This window comes from Homo sapiens, chromosome 20 (assembly GCF_000001405.40).
Source record: "Homo sapiens chromosome 20, GRCh38.p14 Primary Assembly".
NCBI classification, from domain to species: Eukaryota; Metazoa; Chordata; class Mammalia; order Primates; family Hominidae; genus Homo; species Homo sapiens.
In genome coordinates, this window is record NC_000020.11 from 56,392,269 (window position 1) to 56,408,730 (window position 16,462).

The 16,462-nt window shown below is 42.2% G+C and overlaps 1 protein-coding gene across 4 annotated transcripts, besides 1 other annotated feature; it reads left to right on the forward strand.

Moving 5' to 3' along the window:
* Positions 93-332: an enhancer, noted in NCBI's record as "active region_18142". NCBI's record gives its function as "activates an Ori minimal core promoter by ATAC-STARR-seq in GM12878 lymphoblastoid cells {active_cell/tissue: GM12878}" and the evidence as "EXISTENCE:reporter gene assay evidence [ECO:0000049][PMID:35858748]".
* CSTF1 (cleavage stimulation factor subunit 1) lies at positions 111-14,094 on the forward strand. Of its 4 annotated transcripts, none has more exons than NM_001033521.2 (6): positions 111-270; positions 3,253-3,453; positions 4,939-5,216; positions 5,376-5,573; positions 6,699-7,089; positions 11,200-14,094. In NM_001033521.2, exons 2-6 carry the CDS (start codon positions 3,285-3,287, stop codon positions 11,457-11,459), a joined length of 1,296 nt encoding a protein of 431 aa, NP_001028693.1. In that variant the 5' UTR covers positions 111-270; positions 3,253-3,284; the 3' UTR covers positions 11,460-14,094. The 4 variants fall into 4 exon arrangements, with proteins under 4 accessions (NP_001028693.1, NP_001028694.1, XP_011526902.1 ...); NM_001033522.2 differs by lacking the exon at positions 111-270 and adding an exon at positions 377-547; XM_011528600.2 differs by lacking the exon at positions 111-270 and adding an exon at positions 377-471.
* The last annotated feature ends 2,368 nt before the right edge of the window (positions 14,095-16,462 follow it).

The following is a 16,462-nucleotide window of genomic DNA, read 5'->3' on the forward strand; positions in this document are numbered from 1 at the left end:
GCCTGCGCTCGAGCGAGGCTGCCTTGTGATTGGTTGACAACAAACCCGACGCCTTGAGTCGCGTTTAAGGGCGCACACCGCGCGCAGGCGCACTTGCTCCCTAAGAACCCGGAAGTGGTGGAGCCAACGGCCAGCCAGACCTGTGGCAGTCCCAGCCCCAGGGTGCTCTCCGCGGTCGGCCATTTATCGGTGAAGCAACAGCCCCTTGACGTCAAGCTTGACGCATTGGAGATAAAGTCCAAGGAGGTGAACTAACCTTTGAACGTGCCAGTAAGTAAGATGGCGAGAAAAGCAAGAGAGAGTGGGACCGATCGATAGCGCAGCGGTCGGCTTGGCGCCCTTTCAGCGTGCGCAGTGAACGTGCGCTCGGAGCGGTAGATTGGGCAGGATTCGCGCCTCCATTTTTCCAGGAGAGAGCGGGATACCAAGAGAACCGGACCAGCTGGTACTGGGACACGGGGAGAGTAGCTGGTGCGGTCGGCTGGGGCATTTAGAGAAAACCACAGAAACGACTGGGGCGAGACTGGAAGAGTCGAGAGTTAGCAAGGTGGCATGCGCCTCTACTTTGCGTTTCCTAAGTTGCCCGGCTTGGCCTGCACCCCTTCCTCTTCTCGAAGGGCCTCGCTTCCATTCCCACCCAGTCCTTAGTTCGCCTCTGCATCCAGATGGTCGCGGCGCATATAGTGAGGGGGCATCTGTGTTCTAGCCTTTCCAACTGCGATGTATCCGGTCCTGGATCGGGTTCTTGTCCTCGTGTGCTCACCTGCAAATTGGGGATAATTAGGCTTCTGTTTACCTGGCGAGTGAACGTTCTGTGGGAGTTGAGAAGTTAGGGGTGGGCCACTTAAAATATATATATATATACACACACACACACATATACATATATATACACACACATATGTGTGTGTGTGTGTGTGTATGTACACCCGGGATGTGCTCAGCAGAAGTGAAGAGACCGGATAGAACAGTGGTGTAGGGGAACCAAAAATGGCTTCCCTCCATCCTTCCAGGTACCTTATTAGGACTAAGAGTTAAATTCACATAAGACGAATTAACAGATTACTGCAGGGTAAACAGGATGTGCATGTAAAGCATTGAGCTAGCATACGGAAATTATTCGAGTCATATTAACCCAACGTTAACAGTAGAATCTCTCATCAACTTTTCTTTGCCAGACTACCCACTTGTGATTTTCATTCTTTATTGGTACTTAAGAATCTCCCATTTTTTTCGGGTAACTGAACATTGTCCATGGGAGAAAAACGATATTTAATTACGTACAGGAGTCCCACAAAATACGAGACTAAAAGTTGAAGTCAGATGATTAAAGCCTACATGGCATCCTGAGCTACTGAAAGGAATGAATAGAGAATTGGGGGCGGGGGGCGGGAAGCAGCTCTAACACAAGTTATGGGACGGTGAACGGAGGAAATGTATGGTGAATCAAGTTTGTTATGCAGACAGAATAGGTGATCTTCTGGGTGGTGTCAGCCTCTAATCTCTCATGTGATCCGAGTTAATCTTCCCTGGTTTATAAGGATTCGTGACAATTGAGGTATTTTTGGAGGGTCAGACTTTAGGCAGGTAAGGAAAGCACAGGGAAAGCCTCTTCCCGCCTGCTGTTCTCCAGGTGCCCTCAGTTCAAGGTAATCAGCCCGCCAAAGCATCTTGTTTTGGGCTGGCATTTCCTGAACTCCTTCAGTGGTTAAGCTCAGGGATCTGGAGTTGGCAATTCTGGTGTGCTTTAACCTTGGACAAGTAACTCAGCCACTTTTTACGTTGAGTAGGTGTCCTGACCTCCTTGAACCCATTTCATCATCTTTATTTGTGTCCCAGGATTTTCTACTCAAGCATAGACCTACTATGTTCATGTACTACTTCATATACTTGAATACATTGAATGATTTTATTCAGTGAACTGATGCTTACAAAGTACTTAGCATGACGGTATCTGGCATGCAGGAAGTGCTTAATGTTATTGGTTATTATTAACACCATCAGTGTCATACAGTGTGTAAGAAATCAGGCTCTGGGCCAGGCGCAGTGGCTCGCGCCCGTAATCCCAGCACTTTGGGAGGCGGAGGCAGGCAGATCACCTGAGGTCAGGAGTTTCGAGACCAGCCTGGCCAATATGGTGAAACCCCGTCTCTACTAAAAATACAAAAATTAGCCTGGTGTGGTGGCGGGCGCCTGTAGTCTTAGCTACTCGGGAGGCTGAGACAGGAGAATAGCTTGAACCCAGGAGGCGGAGGTTGCAGTGAGCCGAGATCGCGCCACTGCCCTCAAGCCTGGGCGACAGAGCGAGACTCCGTCTCAAAAAGAAAAAAGAAATCAGGCTCTGAGGTCACTTTTATTCTTTATTGCTGTCCCCAGACACCTGTAGCCTTTTAATCTTGGTCCAAACATACACATACATAAAGGCATTGATTTTTGGTAAGCAAATTATCATGTTGAACAGTTGGAGTTCTTTTTTGAATAAGCCAGAAACCATTTACAGTTTTTTGTCTCTTAAGACTGAAGGAAAACTTAGACACTTGTAAGTCAGTGCATGCACAATCCTTCCCGATTATTACTGTTTTTTTTTTCATTTTTATTGTTTTGACCTTGATTGGCAATATTTTATTGGGCAGCTCACCTTTGAGCCTTTCTAACGCATTTAACTCGGTTGGAGTTTTTGTAGTACAGTTGCTTTTTTTTGCTTCATATTTTGATTTACTGTCTAATTAGATTATATAATTACAGTAACAAGCTCAGTTGCCTTAAAACAGGTTTTGAGAATGAGCATAAAAGATTAGTAAACATACAGCTCAGCTAGTGGAACCAGCAGTCTAGATCTTGACAAAATAGCAGCTATCTTGCATATTGCAGGTACCAGTCAATGTTTAATTAACAGAAGTAATGGAAGATTCTGGGATAACAATAAAGAACAAAAATCATAGGTAGCTAGTTTGGTGGAGAAGAAAAGTTGGTGAGAGATTGTACCGTAAACACTGGCTAACATGACTTGAACAATTTCTGTATGCCAGGCACTGTGCTCAGGGCTTTATATGCACCACCGTGTTTAACTTCCAGTAACTTAACAGCTGAAGAACCTCAGGCTTAGAGAAATGAGGTCACTGACCAAAGATAATGCAGCTAGTAGAGATGGGATTTGAGTCCTGCAAGATTAAGTCTGACCAAAGAGTCCTATGTTGCTTCTGTGATTTACTAGAGCCTGTACCCTTCACCGTCCATTTTCCGTTTTTGCAGCTGGCAGGGAAACTGTCTTCCTTTTCTCCAAGATGTACAGAACCAAAGTGGGCTTGAAGGACCGCCAGCAGCTCTACAAGCTGATCATTAGCCAGCTGCTATATGACGGCTACATCAGCATCGCCAATGGCCTCATCAATGAAATCAAGCCTCAGTCTGTGTGTGCACCCTCGGAGCAGCTCCTGCATCTCATCAAACTCGGTAGATTGTGAACACAAATCCATACGTCCCATGGCAAGGTTTTAGATATTTTCATATGGCAGAATTTTTCAAGATTATTCTTGTTTTGTTTCAGTACCTAGTATGAGCCGGGTACTTCAGTAAGTAAGTAGTTCAGCATGAGTTCAGGAAGTAGCTCAGTAAGTAAGGGGTAAAGCAAAGTTCAGATTATGAAGACCTTAAGCTGGTTCTGGCCTGAGGGTCTTTGTACACATTATCTGGAACACTCTGTCAGACATATTACTGACTTCCTTCAGATTTTACATCAAATGTCATCTGAGTTCTCTTAACTCCTCCTAAAATAATCCGACCCTTTCGTGCATTTTCCCGGTTACCCTGCCATAGCGATCCCATTTGTTTTATAACAGTTGTTTTGAAATTTCCTTTATCATTTGGGCTGTTTCCCATGGGATCCTTACCTCCACACTTCCCACCTACTGCTGCCCCCTTGTCAAAAAAGACTACAAGTTGAGTAAGGATCAGGACCTTGTATTATTCAGCAGTATATCCTGGAGCCTACCTGGCTAATAATAGAAAGCACTCAATAAAATATTGAATTACCAAACATGTTAATACCCTTTGACTTGGCAGTGCCAATTGTGAGCATTTCTCCTGGGGAAATAAAATGGACAAACTGCAATGCCAACAACATGGAATTAGCTGTAAATTTTTAAATATCCATAAAAGTGAATACTATAACATAATTATATAGATGAATATTTATTAGCCAAGATACACTTTTGTTCTGCTTGATTAAGTGAACAAGTGAGTCACAACATGTTACACAGCATTGCTCTATTACTGTTTTGAAAAATAAAACAGCCGTGCACGGGGAAGGATCCCTAAGAATTTATACCGATACGTTAACAGTTATTATCTCTGGGTGGTAAAATTCAAGGTCATTTTTATTTTCTTGTTCATCCATAGTGTTAATTTTTCCTCTACTAATCAACATATTATTTGATTTGTCAAGTTATTTATAAATTTTAAATGCATATTCTTGATAAACCAGTTTTTTTTAAATAACTTTATTTCAAAAACATTTCACTAGCATTCATGTTAACAATGTAGCTAACTTAACGAGCATCAGAGCTGCTAATATATCTCAACCCTAAAAATATTAAAATTTGGAATGGAAAAAAATGGATAATTTAACTACAGAACTGCTATTTTTTGAGTTTCTGTAGTTGTAGATAAAGTAGTAAACTCTGGAGGCAAGAACCTGGGGAAATGACTTTGTCTATTGGAGCCTAACCTTCCAGCAACCCATGTGGCCTCACAGCGTGGTGAACTTTGAATAGCATGGGCAAAATACACAGTTTTGTAAAGTGTTAGGTGTCACGCGGCTCCAAGAAATAGGAGGTTGACACTGGTGAGCATCTTTCCAGTTTGGATCTAGAATTTTATCTTGGCCTTTTTAAGAAAAAACACTTGTTTTGTTACGCCCTTAATTTTGATTTCTTTCAGGAATGGAAAACGATGACACCGCAGTTCAGTATGCAATTGGTCGTTCAGATACTGTTGCCCCTGGCACAGGGATTGACCTGGAATTTGATGCAGATGTTCAGACTATGTCCCCAGAGGCTTCTGAGTACGAAACATGCTATGTCACATCACATAAAGGACCATGCCGTGTAGCTACCTATAGTAGAGATGGACAGTTAATAGCTACTGGGTCTGCTGATGCTTCGATAAAGATACTTGACACAGAGAGGATGTTGGCCAAAAGTGCCATGCCAATAGAGGTAAAAATTCCAGTCACATACTTATTGATTGCCTTCTGTTTTTCATTTTTGGAAAAATGAGAGTATGGTTGAAACCAGCTTTAGTTTGCTACAGTTGTGGATTGTGCACTTGGATTCAGACACATTCTGTGCCTTGAGCATCTCTTCTTGTTGGTCTAGGTCATGATGAATGAGACCGCACAACAAAATATGGAAAACCACCCAGTGATTCGAACTCTTTATGACCATGTGGATGAAGTCACGTGCCTTGCTTTCCACCCAACAGAACAGATCCTGGCTTCTGGTTCAAGGGATTATACTCTTAAATTATTTGATTATTCCAAACCATCAGCAAAAAGAGCCTTCAAATACATTCAGGTAGGAATCTTTAGAAAGGAGCTTTACATTTTTTCTTAAATACAATGAGCTATTGTACAACTATTCTCTTTTTAAAAGTAGTCTCAGTGATCATCCTGTAAGATGCGTACAGACCAGGATGCATGCCCGATGGCACATGGATCAGATTTTGTTGGCACATAGATCACATGCTATCATGTACCTGCTCCCTCTGGCTGGTCAGAGTTTATAATCTGACCCTTTGGAGGGTTTGGAATCCATATCACTCTCTAAAGGTTGTAGATCCCTGTTATAAACAAAACACGACCAGCTTCACTAATATATAACTTAGAGGAATAAAAAAAAAGTTCATTTGAAAGTATTAAGTATTTCCTGGCAAGGTGACATTCGGTACCCTATTTTGAATATGCATTGCAGAAATACTAATGTTTTAGTTGTGGCTTCTGTCTGTTTGATAATTAAACTAGGCTGGTTGCAGTGGCTCATGTCTGTAATCCCAGCACTTTGAGAAGCCAAAGTGGGAGGATCACTTGAGCCCAGAAGTTTATGGTCAGCCTGAGCAATGTAGTGAGACCTCATCTCTACAAAAAATTCTTTTAATCAGCTGGGCATGGTGGCACGCGCCGATAGTCCCAGCTACTCAGGAGGCGGAGGCAAGGATGATCATTTGAGCCCAAGAGGTTGAGCCTGCAGTGAGCTGTGACCATGCCGCTGCACTCCAGCCTGGGCGACAGAGCAAGACCCTGTCTGAAAAAAATAATAATAAACTTAATTTTTCACTCAATATTTGCAGCCCTAGAGCAAATTAAAGAAGCTCTTAGGTACAAGTTGTACTTCAGTTAACCATGCATGAATGTGTCATTGTCTGATAATACTCCATCCTTAGTTTACTCAGTGTTCATTTGTAAATAATGAAGCTCACTTCTGTAGTTTTTGGAATAATATAACCAGTAAATATTTAGTTTTGGAAATCTATTCAAAAAATACTTTCATATGTTCCAGAAAGCACTTTTTTTCTTATGATACCTGTGTAATATCTAATAATTGTTTTATAGATTCTTTTCATCAGCCAGATATTTTCCACATTTCCTCTGGATTTAATTGTTCACCAGTTGGTCACTTGTATTAATGTCTCTGTCCCAACAGGAAGCTGAAATGTTACGTTCCATCTCTTTTCATCCTTCTGGAGACTTTATACTTGTCGGAACTCAGCATCCTACTCTTCGCCTTTATGATATCAACACCTTTCAATGTTTTGTCTCTTGCAATCCTCAAGATCAACACACCGATGCTATATGTTCCGTTAATTACAATTCTAGTGCCAATATGTACGTAACTGGAAGCAAGGACGGCTGCATCAAATTATGGGATGGTGTTTCAAATCGATGCATCACAACTTTTGAGAAAGCACATGACGGTGCTGAAGTTTGTTCTGCCATTTTTTCCAAAAATTCTAAATACATTCTCTCAAGTGGAAAAGACTCTGTAGCTAAACTTTGGGAAATATCAACGGGACGAACACTGGTCAGATACACGGGTATGTGAGACGTTGATGTTACTTAACATTTCTGTAGTGTTTACACTTTCCAGAACTCTCTTTTAAGACCTCACAATAGAGCAACACAATATCTATGCATTGAGCAAGGCAGATGTTACCCTTTCTTAGATAAGAGGAAACCAAGACTTACAGGTTAAGTCATTTAGCCAAGGCTACACGACTTGGAAATAGAACGGTGCTTTCTTTGCTCTTCTGAGCACCTCACACCGTGGACTAGGGCTGGATTCCATGCAAGTAACATTTGAGAACCTGGTGATCCATTTGTAGACTGGCATGCCCTCTTCCCACAGAAATGTGAAAGCAATCCAGAGAAAAGTTTCCAATAGTAGATCTCAGTATTATTAATATATGTATTCATGAAAGAATGGCTGAGAGGGAAGATCTTATCCCATTCCTAAGAGAGCAGACCTAGCCCGCAAAGGAAACCACGTTAATTCTGAATGCAGATATAAAGTAGGCTCAGCAGACAGAAAAAAATTGCATCCACTGAATTCTCATTTATGTATGTTGGTCTCATTGGTAACAGTAGTGCCTGTGGAGTCTTTTTATAATGAAATCCATTTAAATTTATCCTATCACTAGTAGGGCCCAAGTCTGGTTATTTGATAATGAATGTTAAAACACTGTCTTCTGTTCCTTGTAGCAGCAAAGACTGTTGTTTGGTAGAAAACCTCCAGAAAATTTCTGATTGTTTCTTCCATTGTGAGATATGTTTGTATCATACACTAAAATTGGCATGAGCATAACTCAAAAAAAATCACAAGAAAACAGTATTGGAAGGGACTGGATTGTGTTTAAGTTTGCATTGAAGAGTCAGTGACATCTGACCCACTAGGGGGCAGCATAACTTGCCTTAGATTTGTCTCATTGTAACCAAAGTTCCCTTCCCCAGCCATCTTTCTGGCTTCTGGTACCACTAGCAAATCTTAGGAAGAGCCATTTTTATCATAATTCTTGGTGACTTCATTGAAACACTTGTATAAAGTTGTTCTGAAAAGTATTTATTATAAAGAACTACTTTATAATAGTTGTGTTTGTTGCAAAAAGAAGATAAAAAAGTGATCAGGGTAAATGTGAAAGTACTCCCCCTATAGAAGTTATAACTGTTTTAAGGAGTGTGCTGTATCTGGACAGATACACACCAGCCTACTGACAATAGCTTATATATTTGCTCTAGGAATGTTTTGGGTGTTTTATAATAGTATGAGGTTGATTGGCTTGTTTTAGTGGGGAATAGCAGTGTGGTTTTTCAAAAATGTGATTATGCTGAATTTATGCACAGATTCCCCTTTTCCTTTTTTCTCATTTCACAGGTCAAGCGCCTGTCATGTCAGCATGTTAAGATTTCTGTTCCCAGTTTTAATAATTAGTTAGAATTTGGGCCAGGCGCGGTGGCTCACACCTGTAATCCCAGCACTTTGGGAGGCCGAGGTGGGCAGATCACAAGGTCAGGAGTTTGAGACCAGCCTGGCCAATATGGTGAAACCCCGTCTCTATGAAAAATACAAAAATTAGCTGGGCTTGGTGGCGGGCGCCTGTAGTCCCAGCTACTTGGGAGGCTGAGGCAGGAGAATAGCTTGAACCTGGGAGGTGGAGGTTGCAGTGAGCCGAGATTGCGCTGCTGTACTCCAGCCTGGGCGACAGAGTAAGACTCCGTCTCAAAAAATGATAATAATAATAATTAGTTAGAATTCAGAGGGTTTTTGAAATGATGAAAAAGGAAAAACTATCAAAACTTTAGAAATTGGGATGCAAAAAATTAAAAACAATATAAATAACATACAGGACTGGGAGAAAATGGTTATAGCATATATACAGATGTTAGACATTGAGTTAACATCCTTAATCTATAAAGAGAACTCATATGGGAAAAAGATGAGTCCAAACTCGAGAAAAAAGGAGCCAAAGGACAGGGGGCTGCAGAAGAGAAAAATGGTCAGGAAATGTAAGAAAAGGTGGCCAGCCTTGCTGCAGACCCAAGAAATGAATATGGGGACCTGGTTTTGTTAATCAGATTTCAGGAGTCTTAAAGATTTATATTATCTACTATTGATAGAGATTTCGGGAAATCATATTTTGTTGGTCAGAGTCAGCTGGTAAAATATTTCAGCACAGTTTGGTGTCATATCAAAATTTTAAATACACGCTTTTTGACCCACTATATCTACTCTTAGAAATTCAACCTAAAGAGGTAATTGGACAGACATGCACATGCCCATAAAAGGATGTGTGTCCCAACATCATTTGGAGTGGCTGAAAGTTAGAAACAGCATAAATGTCCAATAAGAAGCACTGAGGAAATCTGTTACGCATCCATGGACAACATACACCTTTAAAAATAAGTATGCATGCTAACATGGGCTGAGCACTCGCACTCCAGAGCCTCCTTTGCATTCTCTTATTCTTAATCCTCACAGCCTTATGGGGTAGGTTCTGTAACTACTCCATGGAACAGATGAGAAAATTAAGGCTGAGGAATGTTAAGTAATTTGCCCAGGGTCACATTAGTGTTGAACCCACATCTGACCACACAGACTTTGTGTTTTTATCCACTAAGCTGTATTCTGTCTTTACAGATCTGCACTACATATGCTTGAATATTAATAGTATATGACAAATGCTCTGACTTAAAGAAGTTACAAATGAAGCCAGGGACTGTGGCTCACACCTATTATCCCAGCACTTTGGGAGGCCAAGGTGGGCAGATCATCTGAGGTCAGGAGTTTGAGACCAGCCTGGCCAACATGGTGAAACCCCATCTCTACTAAAAATACAAAAATTAGTTGAGTGTGGTGGCACATGCCTGTAATCCCAGCTACTCAGGAGGCTGAGGCAGGAGAATCTCTTGAACCCAGGAGGCAGAGGTTGCAGTGAGCCGAGATCACACCATTGCACTCCAGCCTGGGCAACAGAGTAAGACTCTATCTCAAAAAAAAAAAAAAAAGAGAGAATTTACAAGTGAGCACATAACACTTAGATATTTCGAAAGAGTATTCACCAAAGTATTGACTGTTACCTCTGATGGGTGCAATTATTAGGCAGTTTTTATTTTCCTTTTTATACTTTATTTGGTACTTTTAAACATAAAATATGTAATTTATAGTCATAAAAAGGCTTCCTTTTGGAAAGTAGATATTCATATACTTTGTCTCAGTAATTCTGTCTCTAGGAATTTACTCCTAAGGAAATAAAGCTTTCTGTACAAAGGATGTTCATTACAACATTACTTATAATTGATATAAACTAAATGTCAGGAAGTAAAAGAATTGTTAAACAGGCCGGGCATGGTGGCTCACACCTGTAATCCCAGCACTTTGGGAGGCCGAAGCAGGTGGATCACAAGGTCAGGAGATAAAGACCATCCTGGCCAACCTGGTGAAACCCTGTCTTTACTAAAAATACAAAAATTGGCTGGGTGTGGTGGTGTCCACCTGTAGTCCCAGCTACTTGGGAGGCTGAGGCGGGAGAATCACTCGAACCCAGGAGGCGGAGGTTGCAGTGAGCCGAGATCACGCCACTGCACTCCAGCCTGGCGACAGAGTGAGACTCTGTCTAAAAAAAAAAAAAAAAGATCACACACAAAAGAATTGTTAAATAAGTAATGGGGCTTCTAAACATGAGGCACTTTGCATCTAGTAAAAAACATGGAAAAATGTACTCAGCATAAAGTTGGTTAAAACTATAATAGAAAAATATAGTGGCAACAATTTTATATGTATTTTTAAAATGTGTTTTTTTATGCCTCAAAGTACATTAGGACAGTAACAGTATTGCTTCAGGTGATCTGGTGATCTCCTTTTTTTTTTTCCTGATGCAGTCTTGCTCTTGCTCTGTTGCCTGTTGCCCAGACTGGTCTTGAACTCCTGGGCTCAAGCAGCCCTCCTTCCTCAGCCTCCCAAAGTACTGGGATTACAGACGTGAGCCACTGTGCCTGGTTTGATTTTCTTTTTTGTACTTTTTTAGAGTTTCTGAAAGTGTACAAGGTGTATCACTGCAACAGGTTTAAAATGCTTTTACATTGAATGCTAGAACGTTCTGAGGGTCTAAGATGTGGACTTAGAAAGCTATCCCTCTTGCTCTCTGTGGCAGGCGCGGGTTTAAGTGGACGCCAGGTGCACCGGACACAGGCTGTGTTTAACCACACCGAGGACTATGTGTTGCTGCCCGACGAGAGGACGATCAGTCTTTGCTGCTGGGACTCGAGGACAGCCGAGCGGAGAAACCTGCTGTCGTTGGGGCACAACAATATTGTACGCTGCATAGTGCACTCCCCCACCAACCCCGGGTTCATGACGTGCAGCGATGACTTCAGAGCGCGGTTTTGGTACCGGAGATCGACCACTGACTGAGCCACCCTCTCCGTAGGGTTCTTTCTCGAGGACTCTACCCTCCTCCCCCACGTCCTGTCTCAGCTGCAGTCGTAAGTCCGTGCACCATCCTTGACGTTTTGCTGCCACCTCTGTCCACATTCTTCTTGGATTTGTATAAAAGAATCTTTTTTTACCTTGATGTAGAATCATGGTGGAAAAAGTTGGAAACACAGATCTGTGCAGTTCTACATTCACTGATTATTACAGTGTGATTTTCATCGGTTTTGTAAGTACAGGACTTGCCGTTTCTTTTGATCTCTTGATTGAAGGAGGATAGGGCATTAAAGTGCTTTTGACATGAGGAATTTTCATTTGGTTCTTCTGTCAACTTTCTTGCTTATTCTGCTGAACCCTCTGTGTATTTCCCTTCCAGGTATATTTGAACAGATAAGCAGGCATGCAGCTCTGAGACTCCTGAGTTTTATGCCATTATCAAAAGCATTTTCAAGAATCCCTCAATTCTATCCTGAAATGATGTTATTCTGATAATAAAGCTCAGATCTGCAACTTTATTGTTATATATTTTTCACTTCTGTAAAATTAATGGCCAGTTTTTCCTGACAATTTATAGGAACAGTATCTTTCAACATACTCCCTACATTATCCTTCAATATCTGCAATACTTGTCTTTAGTAACTGTATTTCTGGTAAGATTATGATTTCATGAGAAACAATTGAAAATATATCCGATCTAATTAAATTAGGTCAGCCTGCTATTGCTCTCAGGTGTTGCCTGTCTTCACGAATGATTAGTATCGATTGACCTCTTTCTTAGGTGGTTTTAAGTCTTCAGTTCTCGTCAGCATGAACTAACTTCTCATCATGGAGGCACATAGTAACTGCATTCTCAGAAGATTTATGCAGTTAACCAATTGATACAAGTTTTCTTTTTCTTGAATTTTTTTTTTTTTAATTGAGGCACAGTCTTGCTCTGTCACCCAGGTTGGAGTGCAGTGGCGTGATCTCAGCTCACTGCAAGCTCCGCCTCCTGGTTTCACACCATTTTCCTGCCTCAGCCTCCCAAGTAGCTGGGACTACAGGCACCCACCACCACGCCCGGCTAATTTTTTTTTTTTTTTTTTTTTTTTTTGTATTTTTAGTAGAGCCAGGGTTTCACCATGTTAGCCAGGATGGTCTCTATCTCCTGACCTCGTGATCCGCCTGCCTCAGCCTCCCAAAGTTTTGGGATTACAGGCGTGAGCCACCGCGCCCAGCCTTCCTGAAGCTTTTTAGAACATGACAGTACTTCTCTGGATTCAGCACTAGCAGAGTCAGAGAACTCTGAACTCCCCTTGTACAAACATAAACTTTGCTTTATATTTATCCCAAAAAACAAATACCTTATGATCTGCATAGGAGTACCTAGAAATATAATCTGGGATCATTTGATAAAAATAGTAAATAGATTGAAGTAAAAGTCATTGCTTTATATTATAGGAAGTTTTGTTTTGTTTTGTTTTGTTTGTTTTGTTTTTGAGACGGAGTTTCGCTCTTGTCCCCCAGGCTTTAGTGCAATGGCGCGATCTCGGCTCACCGCAGCCTCCGCCACCTGGGTTCAAACGATTCTCCTGCCTCAGGCTCCCGAGTAACTAGGATTACAGGCGTGCGCCACCATGCCCGGCTAATTTTGTATTTTTTTTAGTAGAGACGGGGTTTCTCCATGTTGGTCAGGCTGGTCTCGAACTCCCAACCTCAGGTAATCCGCCCGCCTCAGCCTCCCAAAGTGCTAGGATTACAGGCGTGAGCCACCACGCGCGGCCCCATCATACGAAGTTACTGAAGTTATTGCGTAAACATTCTGTTTTAGTCATCCTTGAGGATCGTTTTAACTCCTTGATCTGTAAAACTGTCTTAAGCATCTTAACATGTTACATCACAGGGTTTTAGCTCAGATTTCCAAAGAGCCATATTTTTTGATGCATATTTCCAGTTGAATTCCAGTGTGAATTTCCAGTTGTACTTTGCATTCTGATTCTTTGATATTTGAACTTGGCCATCTGTGGGTGCTACTCTCGTAAGACTAAAAGGCACCTACTAAATACGAACAAGGATAACCAGTTCTACCAAAAACATTACCAACCAAACCTCCCCTGTTCTTTTTTCAGACTTTCCTTTTGCTTTCAACCTCTTAAACTGTAAAGGAGAGATTTAATGTTTCCCTATTATTCTGCTTTGACTCACATACTAAAATGACCACATGGCACTCCATTGAATCTTTTCAGTTGTTCACGAATTAAAATAATGCCCATGTTTTACAGTTTTTCGAGTAGTCTCAGCAATGGATCTGTAGTTTCAGGACCTGTTTTTAAAAGATCAAGATACTTTTATGTGTTTCAGAAGTAGCTGTTTTTTCATTTTTTGTGGGTTTGTTTTTTTTGTGTTTGTTTGGTTGGTTGGTTTTTGGTTTTTTTGCTTTTTAAAGGTCACAGTGTTGTGAGCCTGGTGTAAATGCCAGGAATATTATATGGACTTAGTATCTGCATCTCGTTAATTGTACCACACAACACTCTGCCATTCAAATAATGAATATCTGGTCAGGATACGAACTTATACCCTCTGTGTGTTTTTTTTTTTTAAGATACGTGATTTCTGAAATAAACTTTATATACAATGATAAGCTAGTTTATTTTTTTTGGAACTTACTTTGAACATTTCCCACATTTGAACATCTGTTCTCAAACAGCAGTTATGACTTTGGTACTGTTCACCCTTTCTTTAGTGCTTTGTTCCAGAAGTCAGGTTTTTATAGCTGGATCACCTTTAGCTCTTTATCTTTGCTCCTCTGCTCTCTATGAATTTTTCTTTTTTTGAAACGAATTCTCACCCTGCCGCCCAGGCTGGAGTGCAATGGCGCGATCTCGGTTCACCGCAACCTCCGCCTCCCAGGTTCAAGCGATTCTCCTGCCTTAGCCCCCTGAGTAGCTGAGATTACAGGCGCGTGCCACCATGCCTGGCTAATTTTTTCTATCTTTAGGAGAGACAGGGTTTCGCCATGTTGGCCAGGCTGGTCTTGAACTCCTGACCTTCTGATCTGCCCACCTTGGCCTCCCAAAGTGCTGGGATTACAGACGTGAGCCACCGTGCCCGGCCGCTCTCTGTGAAGTTAAAGAACTTGAGTATAATTCAGTTTTTTGGCTTATTCAGAGAACGCTATCTTTGCTTACACTTTGGTTTTCCTTAGGAAGAGCAATGTGAGAGAGTCCAGTCTCAGCTCTGTTACTGACTTGGTAAGTAATAGGGCAAGTCATTTTTCTGGGATACAGCTTCCTTTTCTGCGATTAAAGGGCTTAATGAAAAAAATCTCCAGCATGCACTTCAACCTGTAAAGCTCTTTGTTTTCATGCCTGATGATACAAACAGACTTCAGGGAGGGAGGAAGCCATTGTTCCTAAGCGGGAGACATCTGTTTCTAAAAAGGTAACAAACCAGATATTTCCAGAGCCCTTTCAATTCAAACCTGGATAGAACTTTTTTTAAATCTCTAATAGTTAGCTGAGACAGCAAGAAAGAAGGAATTCCTGAGGGGCAGAACAAAGCACAAATCCAGAGGATTCGCAGTGCTGGAGCACTGAGTAGGTCAGTTCCTGTAACCTACTCATCTCTGAGCAGAAGTCAAAGCTCTGAGTCTTCATGGAGGAGGAACTTTGGTCAAGACCCAGAAAGCCTGGAACCCCAAAGGTGCCCCTTCAGTAAAAGGATGAACTTGACAAAAACCTGCCTCAGAGAAAGACGAGAAATCTGCCTGCTTGGTGCTGGCTCAGGGGTTTTCGGAGAGAGGGTGTCTGGTGTTGGCACAAGGGAGGGTCTCCTGAGAATTCGGTCCACGCACTGTTCCTCATGCAGGTTTGGAACAATTTACGCTACCTGTACTGCTCAGAGAAAATCAAATGGGGATCTTAAAGCAGTCTCCAACTGATGGTGGCCACAAGTATCTGGCAGAGGCCAGCACGAATTTTCTGTGCAAGAACACGTCTTAACCCCAGTCCTCCCTCTATCCCAGATAAACCTCTGAGGATCATGAACTCACAGTCAGGTACGTGAGGAAACAAGCCACCCTGATAAGAATCAGCAAAAATAACATAATCAGACTTGCAAGGACCTAGTGGAATTACCAGACACAGATTAAATTCAGAGAACTAAAACAGTAACTAAAATGGGACCAAGGGGCGGGCGTGGTGGCTCACGCCTGGAATTCCACACTTTGGAAGGCCGAGGCTGTGAGATGGCTTGAGGTCAGGAGTTCGAGACCAGCCTGGGCAATAGGGCAAAACCTCATCTCTACCAAAAATACAAAAATATTAGCCGGGTGTAGTGGCGCACACTTGTAGTCCCAGCTACTCAGGAAGCTGAGGCATGAGAATCGCTTGAGCCAGGGAGATGGAGGTTGCAGTGAGCCAGGATCAAGCCACTGCACTGCAGCTTGGGCAACAGAGCGAGCCTCTGTATCAAAATAAAAATGGGACCAAGGATTAAAAAACTTGCACAAGGCCAGGCGCCGTGGCTCACACCTGTAATCTCAGAACTTTGGGAGGCTGAGACCGGCGGATCACCTGAGGCCAGGAGTTCAAGACCAGCCTGACCAACATGGAGAAACCCCATCTCTACTAAAAATACAAAAACATTAGCCGGGTGTGGTGGCACATGCCTGTAATCCCAGCTACTCAGGAGGCTGAGGCAGGAGCATCGCTTGAACCCGGGAGGCAGAGGTTGCGATGAGCCGAGATCGCACCATTGCACTTCAGCCTGGGCAACAAGAGCGAGACTCCATCTAAAAAAAAAAAAAAAAAAACTTGCACAAGGGACTGGGCAGGTTTGAATTAAAGAATAAGACTTGTGGAAAACCTCCTATTGGAATGTTTCTCTAGTTTTCATCGTGAATTGCTTTGGCCTTTCCCTGGAGCTCTTAACTGTTGGCCTTCCTGCTCCCTGACTGGATATTTGACTCTATGAAGCCTCTTTCACAGGCGTCTTTTGGCCAAGCA